Genomic DNA, 16,065 nt, shown 5'->3' with positions numbered 1-16,065 from the left:
CAACTTGAAAACAGAAAAAGTGGGCATAGCTTTGATATCCCTTCACTCCAATCAGTTATTGAAGAGTTGTTTCCAAGAATGAAAATAAAGAAAAGAGATCTGGTGTAGCCAGAAAGTTTTAGGAATAACCATTATCATCACTGACCTCCCTATCATCATTGTCATCTTCATCATCATTATCATCACCAATATCACCACCATCATCATCATCACTACCATCATCATCATCACCACCAGCATCATCATCACCACCAGTATCATCATCACCATCATCACCATTACCACCATCACCATCATCACGTTCCATCGTTATCTCTATTATCACCATCATCACCATTGCCACCATCACCATCATCACTATCATCATCATCATCACCACCATCACCATCATCATTGTCACTACCATTATCACCACCATCATCATCATTACCCCATCACCATCAATCATCACCTTCACCACCATCTCTATCATCATCATCATCATCATCATCATCACTAATTTTATTTGACCCCTTTTATCTGCTAGGCACTGTGCTAACTTCTCAACATACATTTGCTCACTTAGTATCTCAGTACCTCCTTCTTATTTTTCTCCCTACACACTACTCATTTTTCTTCATTATATCATGTTTATTTCTTTATTGGTCTGTTGTTTCTCCCTCTCTCTCCTGTCCAGAATTTAAGCTCCACAAAAGATTTTCTTTGTTTTATTGACAATAGGACTCCCAAAGCTTAACCCGGTGCCTGTCATATACCAGGTGCCCAATAAATAGTAGTTCTATAAAATAATATTCTTTACAACTCCATGAGTAGCTACTATCACTATCTTTATCACAGAACTGAGGGGAAATGAAGCTTAGAGAAGCTAAATAAGTTGTCCAGGGTTATCAGAGTCAGAATTCCGAGTTCAGTGGTGAGCAAAAATCTCAGGCTCTTTAACCTCTGCTTCCTAGCAGGCTTCAGTTGTGGCTTCATCTTTGCCCCAGAATGAGCAAGGTGTAGATGCCTCGAGACTTTTAAACTTTCATATCTGCAGTTATTTTTGCTAAAGCAAATGAAACGCATCTCCACTTTCCACTCTTTAGGGGTGGAAAACCACCGCACATCTGCTCCTCTGTTTGACATGAATACCGGAGCTTATAATCTCCGAAACACTTAAGAAACGACCTGCCAAAGCAAGAGCCATTTGCCCAAACTGAAGCAGGGATAAAAGTTGATGGACAAGACTCTAATTAAACCCTGATTTATAATTTAACAGCCTAGATCTTTTAGGTCATAAAGGACTTTGATCCTAGAAATCATGCTAATAATAGTTCCCCCACCCCCACCTCCTCCATCTCTGTCCAGCTTCCCTAACTTCAGGATGGGTGCTGTGGCAGTGTTGAAAAGAAATTAGTTCCCTGCAGTGGCTGAATGAGCTGCCTTTAAAAATAACAACCACCCTACATGGGGGCTTGAGATAGCAATCTCCCTTTGGGCTCCCTCCGGTGAGGACGTCGTTTGCATAGTGATGCATGCCAGATGGTTCTGAGACAAATTCCAGTATCTGTGATGATGGAGGAGCTGCCATTGCTTGCGGTGGGGGATGTCTGGGGATGGGTTGATGGAAGAGAGGAAGCTGCCTTTTCATGTTTTCATGGGGAGGAAGATCAAGGTTAAAAAATAGTAATAAAAATATTTGAGAAAAAATAATTTAGCACAATTGGAAGAATAGGTGGTTCTGAGAATGGACATGAATGTGGGGCAGCAGACAGGCTGAGACTCAAGTAGGGATGTCCTCACTCATGGAGCAAATGATCCTTTCCCAGTGAGCTGGAAAGGTCCAGATAAGTAGTCCCAGATTTGAGGATTACAGAGACCAGGAAACTAAAAATGAATATGGGTGGATTGACATAGGTTCATCAGATTTTATGTGCCAATTAAGTAATCAAAAAATAACAAGCAAACAGATTAACAAAAATGATGAAACCCTATCATCTACCCCCATGACCACTTAATTTATTTTAAAAAGAACATTTTAACACAAAAAAGTGGAAAGAACACAATGATAGATAAAGAATAGATTGCCCCAGGAAAGGGCAGTTAACAGTCTTACAACACATTTGTACATATTTACATTGTCATTTTTCTCATTTATTGTTTGGTGCAAATTTGTTCTAGATCTGCTGAACTGAAGGTCTGTGTTTGTAGGCTGACTATACATCCTAGTTGTGCTAGGACAGTTTAATGGAGGCTAGTTGTGAATTAATTAACGTCTACTAATTGGTTCTAGTGCGTCCTTTCATTTTCAAATGGGTCCCTATTTAGACAATAAATTAATGGTCATCATAAGAATTTGGGGAACTCTAATGTAGATAGTGCTCAAGACTTTGATTTTACTCCATGACTGTATGGAGATATTTTTAGTGTTCCTTAAAAATGCTTTTATTCTAGACTTCAGTGTGAGGAAGTGAGAACCCGGTGCCCTGAGAAAGTTTGCTCTCTCTCTCTGTTTGCTGCCTTTTCTGCTCATGTGCATGAAATTCACTGGATACTCAGCACCTGATTTCAACAAACAGGGACACATCACAAAGGGGCAACAGGATGTGGTCAAAACAAGGAGTCTATTTGTCTGTTTCCTTCACTGTATTTTACCACCCACATGTTGCATCTTCGTTACAGAATCACTCCAATAAATGATAAAAGCAATACCTCCTCTCTATAATCATTTTCTAAACCGTCTGCAAGTAGTCAAAAGAGCAGTGTTGGGGAATTAGATGCAAAGGGGTGTTGTCAAGATGAAAGCCAAAATAGGCAGTATATAATACAATTTCTATGTTCACTGAGTGAGAGACAGTGTATCACCTTCAGAACAACCACTAGTCACCTTGAATCTTAGCTCCATCTAAACATCCCAAAATGCTCGTGACCTTGATGATGACGATGAGGAGGAGGAGGATGATGGTAGGAATGGTGATAATGGTGGTGGTGATGGTGGTAATGATGATGGTGATGAAGATGGTGATGGTGGTAATGATGATGAGGATGATGGTGATGATGGTGGTGGTGGTGATGGTGGTAATGATGGTGAGGATGATGGTGATGAGGATGGTGATGACAGTGATCAGGATGGTGATGCTCATGGTGATCGTTTTATCATGGTGATCATGTTATCATGCTGATGGTAATGATGAGAATGATGATGGCAGCGATGACAATTGAGACAGTCACCTTAGGGTCTGCTGGGCATCCTGGCATGATCAATGCCAATTGTGTGCAAAGGTGCTTCATTGACTGTCTTGGAAAGGAAGGGTGAGTAGACATAGTTTGGTGCCCCTTCCCCCAAATAACCCACTTGGACCCAGTAAGTCGATGAATATTAGAGTTAAAGGGCACTTTCAAAACCTTGTGGTCCAATTCACTGATTTTACAGATGAAAAAATACTGAACGTCTGGACAAAGGAAGCTCTGGACAAGGTCTTTCTAATCTTGCTCAAGGCTATAGGTATCCATATGTTATGGGTAGCAATTTTTTAATCTATGGGGAGGGTGGCTGTTGAGATCACCAATGCTGTGTGCTTCATCCTCCTTAGACTTGCTCTGCCAGGCAGGCACAAGGGCTCAGTTCACCTACAAGGAGCTGAGCTAGGCTTTCCTTTGCCAGAGGATTACATCATCCAGACACTTTTCTTCCTAGGCTGTCCAGGACCCACTCCCAGTGGCAACCCCCATAGAAGCCAGAGGAGGTTCTCGGGGTTGGGGGGGGGGTGAGGTCAGGTGGAGTCACCACTTCCTTAAGAGGAAAATCTTGGCCCACAGGCAAGAGTTCTCATTTCTGAGTGAACAAATCACTGAAGAAAACAAACACCTGCTTTGTGTGTGTGCTTTTTCCTGATGGAGGGTTAAGGAAGAATTGACATTGGAGACACTGGTGTAGGTACATGCTGCCAAGTCAGAGCCCTCAGGAGATGAAAGCCCATTGCTAGTGTCCAGAGCAGCAGCCAAAATGGAGGAAGCTTCAGTCCCTGGCCCGTTCAGATTCAGAAGCTCTCAGGTTAACATTGAACATGTGACTTGCCTGGTGGGCAGATTTCTTGTAGCATCTGCGGAAGGCTCAGTGGGACTGGAATGGTGATGACCTCATTGGGTGTGTGGTGCTCTTTGGATCTGGCTACCGTTATTAAGCCCAGAGCAGCTTAAATGACTCCAAAGCCAGCCCCACACTCTCTATGGGACTTGGAAAATCCAGTGTTTATCCTTAGGGTGGAGGAGGGTTTTTTTGTGTTTTTTTGGTGGGGGAATTCAGGCTTACCTGGAGACATCTGTGCTGACCACAGAGCAGTCATGGGGCTTATTGGGAAAAGGACATGTGGCAGAACTAAGCCAAGGAGAAGGTAGATCCAGTACTACGGGGAGAATTTTCTGGGGAATCACGTTCCATAGAGTAACACAGTTTTGTCATAATGAGAGCTGTCCAAAGTACAATACTCGGATTAGAGAGCTGATCTGTCCACGACTGCAATTGTTCAAAAAGAGTGTAGATGACAACACAGCTGGGGACATTGTTGAATGGTTTCAAATTCTGGAGATAGAGAGAGTGGACTAAATTAAATCTAAGATCTGAGAGTCAACTAATTCACTTGAAAAGCCTACAGTCACTTGCTTCTATGTAAGTCTTTGGTACATAGTAATACCTCACTTAACAGGGCTTAAAATATCACGCACACTTAACCAGCTGAACGAGAGCCAAGAATTGGCAAGAAAATACAAAATGACTCTGAAAATCTTTCATGTATTTAATGAGGGCACCTAAGGATCTCATTCATGACCTAGTGAGTCCCACTTCAGACACAATCCTAGCAGACTTGACTGTCTGATCCCCCAGCTGTAGACAACCGAGAAAAGCACATTTAGAAAATCAAGGAAGAATATTACCATTTTTAACCCATTAATAACAGGGAATACATGTGAATAGCACATCACTAAGGTAGAAGGACCAAGATAACAAAATAGATAAAGTATTCAGAAGTATGGCAATCAGAGGCCATTTAACGAAAGGGCAAATAGTTGTACAAATTTTAGCAGCACACAAAGAAGGGAACAGGTTATGGGTCATCGATAAGAGATTCAGTTATCTTCAGGGATCTAGGTTAAATAGGACAGAATAATACACACAATATCTTATAAAGATTTGTAATAAAACATTAAAAGATAATCAATAACTTAGAAATTTGCAACACATATGGCAAACATATGATGAATATTCATATTATAAAATAACACCGGCCAGGCACGGTGGCTCACGCCTGTAATCCCAGCACTTTGGGAGGCCAAGGTGGGTGGATCACCTGAGGTCGGGAGTTCGAGAACAGCCTGGCCAACATGGGAAACCCTGTGTTTATTAAAACACAAAGCATTAGCCAGGCATGATGGTAGGCACCTGTAATCCCAGCTTCTCTGGAGGGTGAGGCAGGAGAATTGCTTGAACCCAGGAGGTGGAGGTTGCCGTGAGCCAAGATCGTTCCACTGCACTCCAGCCTGGGTGACAGAGCGAGACTCTGTCTCAAACAAAACAAAACAAAACAAAACAAAACACCTACGTATCAGTACAGAAATATAAACAACTGGAAGAGGAAAACAGACAAAGGCAGGATGTGATCAGACATCTCATGAAAACATGGCAGCAATGGCCAACGTTCACATGAAGTGTGCTTCAGCACTGTTAGTCATCAAATACAGGCACATGTTCAAAACAGGAGATCTTACTTTTGTCTGCCAGGTTGTCCAAAATTAAAAAGAACCAGAATGTTCCATGTTGGTTGGAATTTTGGGAAGTAAACCCCCTTCAAACATGGCTGGTCTATCTTTTGGAGAAGCCAAGTTGGAACTTTTTATCAAAATGCAATTTCTCCATTTACCAAATTTACCTAGAAATTTCATTCCTAGAAATTAACCCACTAAAAAATAAGCTAGGGGGCTGGGCACGGTGGCTCATGCCTGTAATCCTAGCACTTTGGAAGGCCGAGGCAGGCAGATCATGAGATCAGGAGATTGAGACCATGCTGGCTAACACAGTGAAACCCTGTCTTTACTAAAAATACAACAAATTAGCCGGGCGTGGTGGCAGGTGCTTGTAGTCCCAGCTACTCTGGAAGCTGAGGCAGAAGAATGGCATTAACCCAGGAGGTGGAGCTTGCAGTGAGCTGAGATAGCACCACTGCACTCCAGCCTGGGCAACAGAGCAAGACTCCGTCTCAAAAAAAAAAAAAAAAAAAAGCATAGAAACAGCCCCAAGTCCATTCATAGGGGACTGGGCAAAAACATCAAGAAATATTCATGCAGTGAAATGATATGAAACACATTTTAAATGAGATATCTTTGTAAATCAATGTGGACAGTGTATTATGAATGAAATACACAGTTAATGAAAAAAGGAAGTGGAAGAATTGTATATGTACTATAATTCTTTTGGCATAATAACGATATTATTATTCTTATTCAAACTTTGTTGATACCAAACTGTCTGAAATGATTCTCACTTCTTGGAAGACAATGTACTCTCTAGGAGCAAGGCCTTTAAAATTTTTTGCAAAAAAATCAGGGGGAGGTCTTTAAACCAAACTCATCCAATCCGTGGCCCAGAATGGCTTTGAATGTGGTCCAACACAAATTCGTAAACTTTCTTAAAACATTATGAGACGTTTTTTGCAATTTTTTTTTTTTTTAGCTCATCAGATATGGTTAGTGTATTTTATATGTGGCCCAAGACAATTCTTCCAATGTGGCCCAGGGAAGCCAAAAGATTGGACACCTCTGCAAACTTTTTATGTTAAAAAAGTGTTTTGTTTAACGCCACAGTTGAACAAACAATGCCTTTGGGGGTCTCAACCTCCATTTGATTCTACAGCATTAAATGCTTGTTGTTTTCAGCTTGTATAATTAGATGCTTTCTTTATGCTGTGTACTCTGCTAAGTCGTTACAAATATTACCTAATTTCACCTTCATTGCAACCCTCTAAGGTTGTACTTCCTTATCTGGGGCTGAGTTATTAAGAAAACTGCCTTAGGTGTCCCATTCAATAAGTGACATAACCAGGATTCAAACCAGGTCTATCAGCCTCCCAAATCTGGGTTCTTGGCAATTCACTCATTCATTCGTTTATTCACTCACCAAATATTTGCTGAGGACCCTTTTTGAGCAAAAATATACTGCACCTTTTTGTTTGCAAATATGATTAAGAATATAAACTTCGTGGACTCACTTCTAGAGTGCATGGGAGTTGGTCCCTACTTGAAGAATTCAGAGATAAAGGATGCGTATTCTGTTTCTCATATATCAGACATAGAATCTCCACAGTAGATTTGTTTTGCTCCCCTGCCTCCCCCCCCCTTTTTTTTCCCCCCTGGAGACAGAGTCTCGCTGTATCCCCAAGGCTGGAGTGCAATGGTGCGATCTCAGCTCACTGCAACCTCCTCCCCTGGGTTCAAGCAATTCTCCTGCCTCAGCCTCCCAAGTAGCTGGGATTACAGGCTACCGCCACCATGCCTGGCTAATTTTTGTATTTTTAGTAGAGACAGGGTTTTGCCATGTTGGCCAGGCTGGTCTCGAACTCCTGACCTCAGGTGATCTGCCCGCCTCGGCCTCCCAAAGTGCTGGGATTACAGGCGTAAGCCACCGCGCCTGGCCTGTTTTGTCTTTGTAACATCCATTTCATGACATAGAATAAGTCCTGAACTTAAAAACATTAGGAAATGGAAACCCTAACTCAGAGGAACTAAGAGGCCTTTCGGTAGAGTAAGAGGTAGTTAGACAAGTGGAGACAGAAGAATGAGACCGATTTGAGAAGAATAGCAAAAGTCATTCTGACTCAGGCTTAAAGGCTTAGGTGGGGGGCAGGGAAAGTCAGTGTGCTAGGACTGAAATAGTCAAGAATGAAAAGGCAGCCCAGACCGAAAAGACTGCTATGCCCTTGTGGTCAGCGATGAGAGACAGATCGGGATTCCACCCATGACGAGAGCATGAAGGGTGTGCCAGGCAGACAACATGGAAGCCGTTCACCATGTCATGGTGCTACAGGTCACGGGGAAGCCAGGAGCCAAATACGAGGAGACCGCCCATCTGGACCTGCACCTTCACCTCTAGGTCATGCTCTGGGTACCCAGGCCAGAGCTCCTGGCCCAAACGGCCCCAAGCTCACTCCCAAGGCCTGTGCTAGTCTTGTTCACAGCACTTCTTTTACAGATGAGCCTGAAGAGGTGGTCGAGGGATGGCTGTTTGCAAGGGATATGAGCAGAGCTTGATGCATGGCTACGGCATCTGCACCGATGAATCTGAGACCCCTCGCCCTGCAGAAAGGGACCAGGATGAGACAAGAAGGGGGACAGGCCATGGTCTGGGGTCGAAGACTGGCTTTCCCCATGTGCACCTGTCAGCATGGAGCTCCTAGGAGTATGACAGTTCTGCATTCAAACCCCACCTTCCGGGTAGTCATGAAGCTCCATTTGACAAGTCAGGAGAAAAGAGTCTATTTAGCTCTTTGATTTATAATGTTAAAATATCTGAATATAAGACATGTGGGTTTTCATATTGACCCTTGTCCTGGGTCCTGCACATGTTATGGACGTGTCTGGCTTTGGCGACAAATCCACTAAGATTGATGTAGCCAGTCAACAAGTCAATGGGTTTTCAGGGGCCATTGTCCTCCATGTTCTAAGAGAACCAGCCTATTTCCCCTTGCGCTATGAGCTCCAACAGGGGGAACATCTCCACTGCCAGGGAAGCCTGGGCTGTGTGACCCACATGTAACGGGCAGAATAGTATTTAAAAGTGTCCTACATGTAGAATGGCCGTAATGCATCATCCAAACCAAGGCACCTTTGAGAGTTGAAAAGTATGCTAACGGAGATGCCAGGTCAGCAGGCAGAAACTGAGACCACCCTACGCAAACTTGGACATGTGGTCGTCTATGTAGATAACCCTCCCAAAACCCAGAATCCGCCTTTCCAATTCTGCCAGGCCACTGCTGCAGCCACATTTGCAAGAGGGAAGCAGGAAAGCCAAGTGGTCTTTTTGGTTTTCTTGGGGGAAGGAAAACAGTTTTAGGGAAGGCAAGTGGAAGTCAGTATGTCATGACTGTAGCCTGGGACCTCTGCTGGAGGGAGTTTGTTTTTCCCGTTGACAAGAAGGAAAACATGGTGAAACATGCCTTTCATAAGAAATATGATTTTTTTTTAAGTCTTCAAAAAAAAGCAGGGGGGGGCCAAGCACAGAACTGAGCTTGCTGTGTAATCCTAGACAAGTCACTTCAGTCCGTGGGCCCCCTCTCCTTCTCAAGAGAGGGAATATGAGATGGAGAACTTTGTCAAAACCACTTATCCCCGGCACCTAGCCTATTGCCTGGACCATTATCCATAGATATTTGTGGGATAAACAACAAAGAAATGAATGAATGAACCAATTCGAGGGTTAGTTCAGATGACTTCACTCAATCCTGGAATGGCAATATTTCTACCTGCTTTCATTCTCTATAAGAATTTTAAACTCAGACTTCTTAGAAACCCTATAACCAAACCCCTCATAGTTCACAAGTTCGTAGAGTTGGAAAATGAAGGCAAGAGGATGCGAAAGTGCTGCTGCTCTTTCAAAACTTTATTTTTACTTGTAAAAAACCTTAAAATGTACAACCCTAAAAACCACTCTTTTCCATGTTGGCTTAGCAACATCACCAACCTGTGTATTTCAGCTCCTAGTTAACTTGGGCTAAAGGGCAGTGACTAAACAGCAGGTGTCCCAGAAATGTCAGTCTTCTTAGACCAGCCGCGCCTTTTGCTTGTCACAGCTTTGCAAGAAGGGACCTGGGGCTTGATCAAGTCACAAATTGTCTGATTTGGGCTTTTCCCCAGTCATTAAATTCAAACCATTTATCAAATAAGAGACTGTTTTCTTTTTGCTTTAGACCCTCACTTGCTTTACTCTTTGAATCTGTCACCGTGGAAATTTTACCCTTCTGGGAGAGGACTTGCTTTACACTTTTGAAGTTAACAGAGAAAAGACAACATGAAGGAGGCAAGCAAGATGTACCTCATGCAAAGCACCTCTAACTGTGAGAGGCTCCATCCAGCATGGATACGCTGTCCCTGCAGCCAAAAGCATGGGACATTATTGTTCTATTTTCATCTGCTTGCTTAACCAACACAATTTTTATGTTACATGCCCCAGGATGAGTGTAGTTTGTCTTTTAAAAGCCTGTTTCACTGTGGCAGACATCCCTGTCTTTTTTACCCTAGTTGGTTTATGGGCAGTTACTGCATGCAGAAAGAAAGAAAAAAAAAAAAGAACAAAAACGCCCCGGAGAGATTTTTAGTAGCTATTTGTTACTCACTTAAAGATGAAGCTCTGCAAGGTAAACTGGAAATGACAACTGTAAAATCAACACCAGCCACTAGCAGTGTGTCCACTATTTTGCTGAAATGTGATCCCGGTCTAAGGGGACAAGAAAAGGTGGAGGTTAAATTGTGTTTCCATGATTTTTGTCCCACCGAAAGGAAAAAAAAAGTAATCAGGGACAAAAGTCAACCTCTGGGATTTGAACCCAGGGACTAGGGAGCGTTCAGGCACAACCTACGGCTTGGCATTGTTGTCTAATGATCTATGGTGTCTGGTTTCCAAAACGTCATGGTTATCAGCGCTTGGGCTTATGCGGATTAACATCTGAATGCCGAGCCTCGTCCTGTTACTTGGGTTGGCTGTTTGTTCACGTGAATTGTATCACACATGCTTACACATCAAGGAGTCACTAGAGCTGTACGCAGTGGGCAATGTTTCCATCGCAGCCAGAAGGTGAGCGCTCGCATGAGCTCTGCCTCTTATTCTAGGGCAACCAGACCCATCCTAATTATGCATCTTTTAAACCCACGTGGCCTTCAGGTTACCAGCCTCCCTAGAAGAAGATTGCGTTCGCTTATTAAAACAGGCAATTGATTATTTTCTCCTAACAAGAGCTGTACGCTGATAAACCTGGGCGTTCTGAAAGGGCAGGAAGTATCGCGAACACTGGGTGAATGGCACTGGGTCTGGGGGCTCAGACTTCCCATCAGGAAGTGTGGTCCCTAACTTTAGGGATCATCTCTAATTTTCTCATTTGTTTTCAGTCCCAAGTATCAAATGAGCAGAAATCAGTTTGAGACATTTTGAGGGAGAGATGCTGGTTGGGTAAGAGGGTTTTACAGAAGTGCTTAGGCTGGAAGGACCAACGAGCTGTCTCAGGCAGCCCAGGATGTGTCAAGTGTCTCTTGAAGCTCCCCCTTCAAGGGAAGCACCAAACATCATACCTGCACCAGCTCCCCGGAGCCAGTGCTAAGAACGACATTTTTTATTGAAGTCATCAACCTCATCAAGCGATATCCACAGTGTCTAGGCCCTGAAGGGCATTCAATAAATACCAGAGAGTAAGTGAATAAACCTACGATGGGCAAGAGACCAGGCAAAGGAACTCCAAGGTCTGTACTGAATGATTCAACCTGCAGTCAAGCTGGAGCCCCGTTCATAGGGCGACTACAAAGTCGTCAGCCTCCGCTTCTCAGATCGTAATGGGAATGCCACTTTGTGAGGTTAATGCTCAACTCAAATTGCATTTGGAGGAGAGCAAAAAAGGCCTCCTGGCCAGAGGCAAGAACTAGACAGTATTGTAGGCTGGGGAGCTCTCTGGCCCAGCCAGAAGCCTGCGGGTAGACCGCAGTACCACCAGCTGTCCCTTTATGGGAGGTGAGAGGGTTTGGTCAATGCGTAGAGAAAAGCCGCCGTCATTTTCTGTGACTTTAGTCTAGGAGTCTTCAATTGCCTCAGGCATCTTGTGTTGGCCTACAATGTTTTCAAAGTGGAGACATCTTACCTTATAAATCCAGTTGTCCTGCTGCTCTTGATAAACCCAGAAGGTCTGGCCACAGGTGTTCCCCGCTGTGTGCCTGGGGCTCAGCCACAGGCCCCACCACTCCCTATTGCCTGGCACCCTCTTGCCTGGCCAGACCACATTACTGTCCTCATTCTGGAAGGCAATTCGGTTTGCAGTGTTTCAGACAGTCGGAAAAAACGTGTCCCCTGCAACATATTTACAAATAACGTTGAGTAGAGTCAGCCACCGTTGAAATATCTTGCAGAGAGAGTGTGGATTGGGTCACCGATGGGGGAAGCCGATAGCCAGTCACAGGTTAACTAGGCTTTGGCTCTAGAGAGGATATATAAATATACTCCAGAGGGGATCTGAACTTTCCCCACCTAACTGATCCGTCTCTAATTGGTACCAATTGGTATTCCCTTACCCTGGGCTTTCTTTGTAATAGGGACGTTGTTCTCATTTTTCCATTTACAGTGACCCTTCATTCCAAGTGCTCATCCGTAGGGGTCACTGATTTCCTGGGACAAGAATTTTCAGTTTTCTGGTGTTTAAAACATCCTGTATTCTTTCCTCCCTAAACCAGCTCCTTTATTTTAAATTGTCCGGAGTGTTAAAACCCTTGAGAGCTACTGTCAGTGTATCCACATCAGCAAGCAGAGTCGTGAGAACTCACCAGCGGTGGGGCATGCTTTTTGCTTTATTTGTTTGTGCATTTCCAAGAAACGACACATTAGCAGAGGAATGTGTGGTGACTGGGTTCTGTCCTGGCTGGCCTTTTAACTCAAATCCGAGATAATTGTCTGTAGAATTGTAAGCTGGTGATTGGCTTAAATCCCATGCCATGCCCTCTGACCTCTGACATGGTGAGGGTATCATGGGGGAGGGTGAGTTCACCTCCCCCAGGACTGCCCTGAGATCTGAGCTGGATCAGGCATCTGAAGCGTGACCCCTTCCCGAGGACAAGGCCACGTCGGGGGCAGGTGCCGGGCAGCTGACTCCAGGCAGGGGCCGACGGACCCTCTGCCTCCTTGCTGTGTAACTGCTCCTGCTCGACTCGGATGAAGACTGGCCACTTCAGCAATAAGCAATGGCAGAAAACAGGAAGGAACAGCGATTTACCTTTTCCTGTAGGTGTTCCTCTTCCCCAGGCACCTCGCTTGAAAAACAAATGAAGCCCCTTGAAGTAGCTTGGGTAGGTTGTGGCACCTAAAAATCCTACTCATTTCTGTGGCAGGAACACACAGGTGACCACTGACTTGTTTTCCAAGCAATTAAAGCATTGGCGGTAACACCGCAGAGCACAGCAGGATAATCGCAGTGAAACTGAGAGAGTGAAGTGGAGTGGGGAGGGGGCCGTCTTTGTCCTCCAGTCCACCCCATGTCCCCAGGGCTCCTGGGCTCATCCAGCTGGTGGTGCTGTGAGAGGCATCAAGGTCGGAGCAGACAGGCCTTATTCTTGGACGCATGCTCTGCCTCTCTACATTAGGAGTGGGTGCCGGTGGGCACGGGGAGAGGGGCGGTGTCTCCAGAGCTGAGGCTGTTGTTGGGGGTAGCAGGGGGTTCTTCCTGAAGCATCGCTAGATGACACTGAAGGGACTTTGTTTAAGGCACAAACCTGGGAATGCAACAAGAGAGGTGGAAACTGCAGAGAAATTTGGAAGCTACAGGCCCCTGGAGGAGTGTTAACTGACCTCGCCTCCCGCCTGCCCCCGGGAAGTTGAATCCTAATGCAGCCTTGGTAGAGAAGGGGAAAACTCCATCCCTCGATGTGGGGCAGAGAACCCCTAAAGGCTCAGGAATGGGTAGCACCAGGTGCTTCTAGGAGTGGGGAGAAGCAGGGCCTCAGCTTTTTTCTCTGCTGCAGACAGCCAGGTGCCCCAACTTTGGCAGCAGATGGAGGCTCGTTCATTCTCTGAAAGGCTGGCACAGGGGTCTCTGGAGCCCAGCTAGGGTGGGAGTCTGTGCAGGAAGCAGGAGATTGAAGGAGTATGACTTGTTCAGTGTGGAGGCTGATCCTTCCCCCCACCCAGGCCCTCACCACCCGCTGACTCTCAGAACGTTAGCCCTGGGCCTCTAGATCTCCAGGCAGGGAGGAGAAGAGCCCACCATGGGGAACTAGAGTCCAAGGAGAAATGCCCAAACGTGCTGACATTGGGGGTCCCTAATGACATGGCCTCGACAGACCCCACAGGGACCCCACACTCATCACATTCTTACCAAGATCCTTGGGGGCACCCCTTGGCCTTCATTGTCCTGCTCTTAAATAGGAGATGGCAACCTGGGACCCCCCATCTCGCAGACACAAGAGGTCTGATTCTGTTCACGTAAAACATTCAGAACAGACAAATCCACAGAGACAGGAAGTGCTTGAATGATTATCAGGGGCTGCAGGGAGAGGGGTGGGAATGGCTGCTAATGGGCACAAGTTTCCTTGTGGGGTGATGGGAGTGTTGTGGGGCTAGAGAGAAGCGGCGATGGCACCACACTGTGAATGTTCTAAATGCCACTAGATTGAAACGTTTAAATGGTGAAAAGGGCAAACTTTATACGTATTTTACCTCAGTAACAACAACAACAAAAAGGAACAGGAAGGAAAAAGACTATTCAGTAAGCAAAAATTTAAAATAAGAAAGGCTACTATGAATAACCTCAGAGAAAGAAAAGAAAATATTGTATTCATGAAACAAAAACAGTATTCCTCAAAAAGCTCTTAGCAGAGAAAAACACGATAGCATAAGTGAAAAAGTTCAAGGCAAAAGTTGGAAGAGAAAGATAAGAAAATCTTCCCAGAAGTGAACAAAACTCCAGACTTCTCAGCAGCTACACCGAGAAGTTTTATATATTTATAAAATTTTATATATTTATAAAATTATAAAATCTAAATGTTTAAAATTATGTTCTAAAATATTCAAATATATAAATTATATAAATACATTTAAATATTAAAATTTCAATTATGTTTAAAAATATTCTATTATAATATAAATTATATTGTACATTATATACATTTAAATATTATATTTATCTGTATATGATTTTTATAAAGACAAATTATCTTAGATCAGAGTTTCTTGCCCTTGGCGTTGCTGACCTTTGGGTGGTATAACTCTTCGTCGTAGGGCACTATTTAGTCCACGGTAGCATCTTCCCAGTAGAGACCAGGAGCACTCTCCCCTCCAAGTAATGGCAAACGAAAACCTCTGCAGACATTGCCAGTTGTCCCTGGGCAGCAAAATCACCCCTGGTTGGGAACCCCTGCCCTAGGTTAACTGCTGTACTAACGCAGTGGGTTTCCACTGCCACATTACTCACACCCAGGGCAACAAGCAGTGCCTCATCCCCCAAAATATCAGTAAAATATCCAAAGTGAAGTAAGAACTTAGATGCAGTTTCCTATTAACCCAAATAGTTGCATGATCATACATCAACATAATCTACTGAAGTGCAGAATAATTGTTTTTCCGACTTTCATGATTGACAACATGTTAATGTATCTCTGGAGGAAGACTGACTCTACATCCAGTAAAACCACATGTTGATGGTGCATGTAAATAGATTCTTTAAAAAAATGCTCACATAAAATTCAAAGTTGACCACATGTTTTTTAAAAACATTCCTTGAAGAGGTTTGAATATTGGGGAAAGTTTGGTTTCTGTTGCTTAGAAATATGTACAGCACCATAAACTCTGGGCAAAAACATTCAAAGATGGGCCTTTTCATGTTGATTTTGAGGTAGGATTCAAAGTGATTTACGAAAAGTAACTAGTTAGGCTGAATTGCCAGATAAAACCTTCCCAGGTCCCTCCTCCAGCAGAAGGTGCCAGGAGAAGAGCTCCTTTGCAATGCACCTGGGCACATGCAATCAGACATCCACAAAGAGTGCGATGTCTATGCAGAATGCACCAATTCCAACTTCCAGGTCCCTGGAGATGCTTCGGACATGGGAAGGGAAGTGATTGGATTTCTGTCTCCCATACCCTGTTGGTGGGTATACAGTGTGCCTGTGAGTTGCAGCACCTCGGCTTTTGCTGCCTGCGTTGCCTCATCAAATGTGTATGACAATCAGAGCCACCTGATAGGAACACTGTGGGGATTAGGTGTTGAGAATGGTTCAATGCCCAGGAGGTGCTCAGCACAGTGTCTGGCATTTGGTAGTTTGTGGTCGTCATCGTTGTGAAAGTTATTTTTATGA

General features: G+C 44.3%; 1 annotated feature.

The window, feature by feature from the left end:
• Positions 906-1,845: an enhancer, noted in NCBI's record as "OCT4-NANOG hESC enhancer chr16:86834327-86835266 (GRCh37/hg19 assembly coordinates)". NCBI's record gives its function as "activates a minimal SCP1, AML or CMV promoter by ChIP-STARR-seq in naive and primed H9 embryonic stem cells {active_cell/tissue: H9 hESC(naive and primed)}" and the evidence as "EXISTENCE:reporter gene assay evidence [ECO:0000049][PMID:30033119]".

The sequence above is a fragment of the Homo sapiens genome, chromosome 16 (assembly GCF_000001405.40).
Source record: "Homo sapiens chromosome 16, GRCh38.p14 Primary Assembly".
Lineage (NCBI taxonomy): Eukaryota > Metazoa > Chordata > Mammalia > Primates > Hominidae > Homo > Homo sapiens.
This window is presented reverse-complemented; position numbering and strand designations above follow the sequence as displayed.